Below are 8,226 nucleotides of genomic sequence, written 5' to 3' on the forward strand. Positions count from 1 at the left end.
GTCGAGATCACGCCACTGCACTCCAGCTTGGGCAACAGGGCAAGACTCTGTCTCAAAAAAAAAAAAAAAAAAAAAAAAGAAAGAAAAGAAAAAAGAAATTAGGCAACACTTTATTCACCAATGCATACCTAGAGCCAGCACTCTGGCATAGAGCAGGCTCTTAAGCTTTTTTTTTTTTTTTTTTTTGAGGCGGAGTCTCGCTCTGTTGCCCAGGTTGGAGTGCACTGGCACAATCTCGGCTCACAGCAACCTCCGTCTCCCAGGTTCAAGCAATTCTCCTGCCTCAGCTTCCCGAGTAGCTGGGACTACAGGCGCGTGCCACCACGCCCATCTAACTTTTAGTATTTTTAGTAGAAACGGGGTTTCACCGTGTTAGCCAGGATGGTCTCCATCTCCTGACCTAGTGATCTGCCTGCCTCAGCCACCCAAAGTGCTGGGATAACAGGCGTGAGCCACCGCGCCCGCCAGCATTTTTTGATTAAATGAACAAATTCACAGATAAGAGAATTGTCTGATATCCACTACAGTATCCTAATACCTTTTAAATTATTGCTACTAATAGTAATAATTTCTTTTCTTCTGTTTTTTTTTTTTTTTTTTTTTTTGAGACGGAGTCTCGCACTGTCGCCTGGGGTGGAGTGCAGTGGTGCAACCCCGGCTCACTGCAACCTCCGCCTCTGGATTCAAGCAATTCTCCTGCCTCAGCCACCAGAGCGGCTGGGATTACAGGCGCCTGCCACCATGCCCAGCTAATTTCTCGTATTTTTAGTAGAGACGGGGTTTCACCATGTTGACCAGGCTGGTCTTGAATTCCTGACCTCGTAATTCACCCGCCTCAGACTCCCAAAGTGCTGGGATTACAGGCGTGAGCCACCGCACCTGGCCCAATAGTAGTAATTTCTTTATTCTTTCTTTTTCTTTTTTGAGGTGGAGTCTCGCTCTGTCGCCCAGGCTGGAATGCAGTGGCGCAATCTCGGCTAACTTGCAACCTCCACCTCCTGGGCTCAAGTGATTCTCCTGCCTCAGCCTCCCCAGTAGCTGGGACTACAGGCACGTGCCACAATTTCTAACAAAAGCATTTGTTCTTTTACTCTATCTTTAGGTCACTGGATCACTGAAATAAGATATTAGAAGTATTGAATATAAACAGAATCTAAATTTCAGATTTTCTGCAGTTATTTGTTACATAGCAAAATAATGTATCCCCTTTAATTCTGTTTTCCAGTCCTTTTCATCAATATGATTACCTATGTCACTGCAGGATACCATGGGCAAAAGGATATAAAGAGAAATTTATACATATTTGTCTAAAACCTGTCATCCTAAAAACAAGCCACCTTCCAGTTCAACCTAATTTTATTTTTGAGACGGAGTCTTGCTTTGCACTCCAGGTTGGAGTGCAGTGGCGCAGTTTCAGCTCACTGCAACCTCTGCCTCCCGGGTTCAAGTGATTCTCCTGCCTCAGCCTCCCGAGTAGCTGGGATTACAGGCGCCCACCACCACGCCTGGCTCATTTTTGCATTTTTAGTAGAGACGGGGTTTCATCATGTTGGCCAGGGTGCTCTCGAACTCCTGACCTCAAGTGACCGCCTGCCTTGGCCTCCCAAAGTGCTGGGATTACAGGTGTGAGCCACCGCACCCAGCCTCAACCTAATTTTATAGGCAAGAAAATTGTCTTCCCATTTATCTAAAATGGATTTCAATGGCACAAGACTTTTCATTATTTTGCCAACAGAAGTATTAAAGTGTAAATAGCAATTAACATATTAAGCTATGCAAACAAATGTAAACATATAAAAATAATTTAAAATAATAAAAGAAAATATTGACTGAAAATGTTCAAATATCCAAAATGAAGAGTGAAACCTCTCATAAAAAGAAGGTAAAGGACAAAAAAGCTCAGTAAATACCTAGATTGAATGAAAGAATCTTCCAAAATTGACAATTTTATTTAGGACCAGCATTGGTTTCCTTGAAGAAGGAAAAAGAAAATCAAAACAAAAAAATATGTAGAAATGTGCTGACAAGCAAGCAACTCTGTTTTGCATGACTTAACACTTTGTTGTTTGTTCCCTTCATGTAAAACTTTAATAGAAAACTCCTTGTAAAGGAGTTTCATTCCTATCAATTTTTTAACTTAGGGAATGGTGAGGCTTCAAAATCTATATATTCAAACAAAACAAGGACTGACAACTGGTGGTAGGAAAAATTTAATGATTTTGCCCACTCACATAAACTACTAGAAAAAAAACTAAAACAATTCTACCTCTTAAAATTATTAAATTTAATCATTACTTTATAGTATCTCTCTTTTTCTCTTTTCTACTGTGTAAATTATAGTAAAGCATAAGTATGAAACCCAAGTGTGAAAGAGCCTAAACCAAGTATAAGTGAAAGATATTAAAACAGAATTTAAGTTAAAAGGCTAATACGATTTGGTAAGATTTCTGAAAGTCCATACATTATTAAAACAACACATTCTCATGATTTTACCTTTTATTTCTCCTAAACTACTCATGCTATAAAATGACTGAGGAATCTAGATATATGTCTAATGTAGCACAAAATAAAGAATAAAAAGTAATATTCTTTTTATTACCACTATAGTTTATTTTCTTCTTTATTAACTATGATTTTTATGTAAAAGTAATACATGTACATGGAAAGCATTCACGGTTTAAGAGAAAAGCAAACCTACCTCTTACCAAGCCATCCTAAGAGACACAACCAGTTATTGTATCCTTCCAGAAATAACCTACATATTTCAAGCACATCTTAGGGTAACATTATTTTTTATACAGATGGATACTATTATGCATACTTTCTGTATCCCAATTTTAATATTTAATACTCCATAATTGTTTCAGATTAGTACATAAATATTTATCTTTGATTTTTGACAGCTGCTCAAATTTTCATTGCAGAACTGCATAATGTATTTAACCAGTCCAGCAGGCATTTATCTTGTTTCTAACGTTCATACCCAAAGGATTATAAATCATGCTGCTATAAAGGCACATGCACACGTATGTTTACTGCAGCACTATTCACAACAGCAAAGACTTGGAACCAACCCAAATGTCCAACAATGATAGACTGGATTAAGAAAATGTGGCACGTATACACCATGGAATACTATGCAGCCATAAAAAAGGATGAGTTCATGTCCTTTGTAGGGACACGGATGAAGCTGGAAACCATCATTCTCAGCAAACTATCGCAAGAACAAAAAACCGAACACTGCATGTTCTCACTCATAGGTGGGAATTGAACAATGAGAACACTTGGACACAGGAAGGGGAACATCACACACCAGGGCCTGTTGTGGGGTAGGGGGAGGGAGGAGGGAAAGCATTAGGAGATATACCTAATGTAAATGACGAGTTAATGGGTGCAGCACACCAACATGGCACATGTATACATATGTAACAAACCTGCACGTTGTGCACATGTACCCTAGAACTTAAAGTATAATAAAATAAAATAAAAGTTTAGATGTTACCCAATTAACTGCCTTCTAAAAAAGTTGAACTAATTTATACTGACAGTGAGTGAGACTGCCTGCTTCCCTACAAATATAAAGTGTTACTGACACAAGTCTACTAAAAATCCAGATCTGAAATCAATATTAGTTTTAAATCATGTATCCAGATTTATTCTTAGTTCATCATTTCTACTTTTCAAGAATCACAAATCAAAGTTACACCTCCTCTCATCTAACTTCAAAAAAAATTTAAAAAATCCTTATCAAAAAAAACACATAAATTCTCCAACAAATTAAGAACTTCAATTGATTATTTAAAAAAAAAAAACCCAACCACAATGCAGAGTCTATATATATATATACAGCTGATATACAGGTGGAGAAGAGAGAAGAATGGGGAGTCCAATGATCTACCCTTTAAAAAAAAATCTCCTTCTGATAAAATACAAATTCCCCCCAATATTTAATGGGTTTTTTAACCTGGTAGTAAGTTGTGAAAAGATGCTTCTGCCAGAATTTAGTATTTTAAAGACCCAGAATTGTTTGGGAAATATTTGGGTATATTCTCACTAAATAAAATACTGCTGGATACATTTATTTCTTTGCCTTCTACATTTATGTTCAAATTACTCTTTTTAAAGCATGAAATTCTAAAGTAATCCATCATATTAAAAAAATCTAATGTACAAGAATACAGGGCCACACATAAACAATTTTTATGAACATAAAAAGCACTAAACAGTTTCTATCTCAGTTTCTTGGCATAGATTCCAGGTCTAATTTTGATGATTACATTTAAAAATAAGAATGATTAAGCCTTCACCAGAACTGCCAAAATAAGACAGTTGAACATGCTTCGAGAAATGTAGAAGAATATCTAAAGGATATATGTAAGAAAGGACTAAGTTAAAGATACATAAAATTGTAACATTATAAATAAAATAATGCAACATAGTATCCAGTAGTATATTCTAAATATAAGGAATGGTAGGGAGGGTATGTACTACTTTGTAATATTCAAATAATTAAAGATTTTTTTTTTGCTTAAACATTTTTCTCAAGGCTCATACTATAAAAAGCCCCAGTACAATTGTTTTGTAAGATCATCATTAGCATTTTGATCATTCATTTAAACAAACATTTACTGAGTACTTACTAGGTGGCAGGGTTTATACTATATACACTGGAGACAGAATGGCAAATAAAATTAGTCCACCTCCAAGAGGCTATAATCTAGAACACAATCCTGATTCTTGACAATGTTTAATACTAAAAACTTCAATGATTTTTTTCTCTAATTGGTCCCCTTCCCATTCTTCTCTAATCCAACTAATAAATGAAATCTGAAATTCAACCTAGAAAAGTACAGAAGAGAATTATATTAGATACAAAACGCTTCATCCAGATGTGTCCTATGTACAGAATGAAATACAAGCATAGTCTTGTCCCAACGTAAGTAATGTACTAAACAAAGTAAGAAACAAAGCAATGCTGCCTCTTTTCACATCCCCAGTAATAGTTGTGTCTGTTGGACACTCGCATTTGTTGTCTCTACCCATGGTGGGTCACACCATGAATTCATTCTTTTTCCAGCATTTCACAATAGGTTCTATGTACACAAAACTGATAAAATATTTATTGTTTACAATCAACCCTCCCATTTGTCTGAATTGTACATTTTCAAATGAAAATAAAAACAAGTGCATACATAACAGAAATTACTTATTTCAATGTTTTTGATTTTAAATAGGTTAAATCTATTGATGATACAGCACTTTCAACCTCGTCAGCAACACATTTGTCCTCCACTTGAAAGCAAATATCTACCAACAGAAAGAAATACACACCACACACACACAGACACAAAATGGAGGTCTAGGGGACCTGGGGATAAAAATTTAAATTACAAGAAAAAGCTTAAATCTAAAGACAATTTTCTTGAGTCACCGGTTTCTACCACTCTGGGGGAATGAAGAAACAGTTCCAAGTAACTCAAGATAGCATCAAGGGCATGGAAAATAATCAGGAAGTAAAAACTACCCAAGTAACCATGGAATCTCATTGCTATCACTGGCTCTCCTCTGGTTCCTTAATGGTCTGGGGTCCCTGACAAGCTCCAATCAGTCTGGTCTCAAGATATCTGTTACCACTCTGCGCTCTGCTATTTCCAGCCTAATCTATTCATAACAAACCTTGAATGGTTTGCCTGCAAGCAATTATTTAAAGATGTAACTTTTGCAAGCAATTATTTAAAGTACCAAAAGACTGCCTGTGATATCATGAAATATACATTTGGTCTCTGGTCTTAGACCAGTTTCCTGGCATACACTCCTATAATCCTTAGAATCTTCAAAGTGGTTATGTGGCTTCCTATATGCTAAGATTTGACTGAAGACTGACAGGCCCTAGGTAGCTTCAGAATAAGGGTTGGTTTTAGCAGAAAGACCAGGGGAAGATTAAATGGTTGGGATTTTCAGCCCCAACTCCCATACTCCAAAAAGGGGAGAATAAAAGTGAAATCGATCCCCAACGGCTGATAGTTTAATCAATCATGCCTATGTAATAAAGTCTCCATAAACGCCTATAAGGACAGGGCGTGAAGGGCTTTCAGAGAACAGAACACAGTGGAAGTTACTGGAGGGTGGCACGCCCAGAGAGGGCAGAATTTCCATGCCCCTTGTCCCATACCTTACCCTATGCATCTCTTCAGCTGTATCCTTTGTAATATCTTTTACAATAAAATGTATTAAACATAAGTGTTTCCCTGAGTTCTGTGAGCTGCTCAGTAAATTAATCAAACTCAAGAAGGGGATCATGAGAACCCTGATTTATAGGCCATGGGACACACAATGGGTCCTCAGCAAAGATGAGAGGGCTAAGTATATAAGATCAGCCACGTCTTTAGAAGGAAGGGGGAGAAAAAGGCAATTTCTATTTCCACCTTCCTTCTTCTAGCTCTTCCAGGAGACATACCTTGCCTCCAGTAGTTGTAGCTCTCCTTGATCACATGACTTCCACCTTAAGGACAAACTAGTTTCTATACTTGGTCCTTAGTCCATCGGATAAAATGTCATCTTATTTAGAGGCACTGGAAGGAAGTAGGCCTCAGAATTTTCCAATTTTTTGTACTTCCGAATTTTTCACAATAAACATTTGTTTTTTAAAAAGAGTTTCCTGTCAAATTTCATGGAAAGGGATCAGAAATTAACACTCAAAATCGAGCATGTAAGCCAGTCAAGAAAGAATTAGGCATCTTACATTAAAAGAGTCACATTTGTATTCTACACAACTTTCTAATTTCCTAGAATTAATCCCTGTGTCTTCTATTTGTACCTCAGACAATTTCCGAAAATCACTTGGCCCGAGAACATATTTACTTCATAAAGAGCAGTATTAAACAACTAGGTAGAGGCCACCACATGTCTGCAATACCCCCCCTTTTTATTTTTTGAGACAGAGCCTCACTCTCTTGCCCAGGCTACAGTTCAGTGATATGATCTCAACTCCCTGAAACCTCCACCTCCCAGGTTCAAGCAATTCTCCTGCCTCGGCCTCCCAAGTAGCTGGGATTACAGGCGCAGCTACCACGCCCAGCTAATTTTTGTATTTTTAGTAGAGACAGGATTTCACCATGTTGGCCAGGCTGGTCTCGAACTCCTAACCTCAAGTGATCCACCCGCCTTGGCCTCCCAAAGTGCTGGGATTATAAGCATGAGCCTCTGTGCCCAGCCTTGCAATCTTTTTAACATTATAAATGTGATGCATCCACTTAGGGTTTTTAAGAAATTCAAAGGCTACAAAGGCACAAGACGAACCATAAGTCTTGTTACCCTCCTGCATCAAAATGGCAAAATACATGTTACATCATTAATAGACTTCTAGCACAGTTACCAGTTTAACTTTAATGCCATTTTGCTTTCATATCTTGATTCACCAAATTTTATATGCTTGTTATCTACTGACTGTCCACCGAAAAAACGAGCACTGACCCCTTCGTTTGTTGCCCTCCATCTCCTAAATTTATAGATATTATTTTTATATTATAAAGGTTTATAAAGCATTCTACTCCATAACTATAATTAAGCCCATTTTATACATTTTCTAGGTTGATTCTAAAACAGAAAATCAATAAAGTGTACTTACAATGTGATTATATAAATACTAGTCACTAAAGGAAATTTAATTTTATGTTGTTTAGACATTACTACTTGAAGAAATGTTCATGTATTCCAGACTAATAGAACTTGAATTTCCTTCTAGCTTTCTTCAGTTCTTTTTGAAGGCCCAAGATTGCCACAGCAGCTATTTCTTCCCACTCACCCTCCCATCCCCCCACTACCACCATATCCTCTACCTTGGGATTATTTTTTTCTCTGTGCTACTGTATCTCAAATATGTTCATACAAAGTGCATCGTTTTTTCCCAGTATAGAAAATGCAATTGTCCTCACATGATAAAATAGAGGGGCTGGGTAGAGAAAACATAGGTCAAAATCTATTGTCTCTCAAACAGTGAAGTCACTGTTCCACTGCCTTCAAGCATTCAACACAGCTGCTAAGAACTTAGTTATTTGATTTTCCGTATTTTTTCCCTCTCTCTGGCAATAATTTTGGGATCTTCTTGTCCTTAAGAGTTCTAAAATTGTGGATCTTTTTCCATTCATTTTGGTTACTAGATGGGCTCTTTCAATCTGAAAATTCATTACGTTTCTACAGCTCAGGAAATTTTCTTCAATTATTTCT

At 37.1% G+C, this 8,226-nt stretch overlaps 1 protein-coding gene across 14 annotated transcripts in view; it reads right to left on the minus strand.

Annotated features, from left to right (window-relative positions):
- ANKRD17 (ankyrin repeat domain 17) overlaps positions 1–8,226 on the minus strand; it is a 185,423-nt gene that overhangs the window by 152,432 nt on the left and 24,765 nt on the right. The gene's annotated exons all lie outside the window — the stretch shown is intronic.

This window comes from Homo sapiens, chromosome 4 (genome assembly GCF_000001405.40).
Source record: "Homo sapiens chromosome 4, GRCh38.p14 Primary Assembly".
Lineage (NCBI taxonomy): Eukaryota > Metazoa > Chordata > Mammalia > Primates > Hominidae > Homo > Homo sapiens.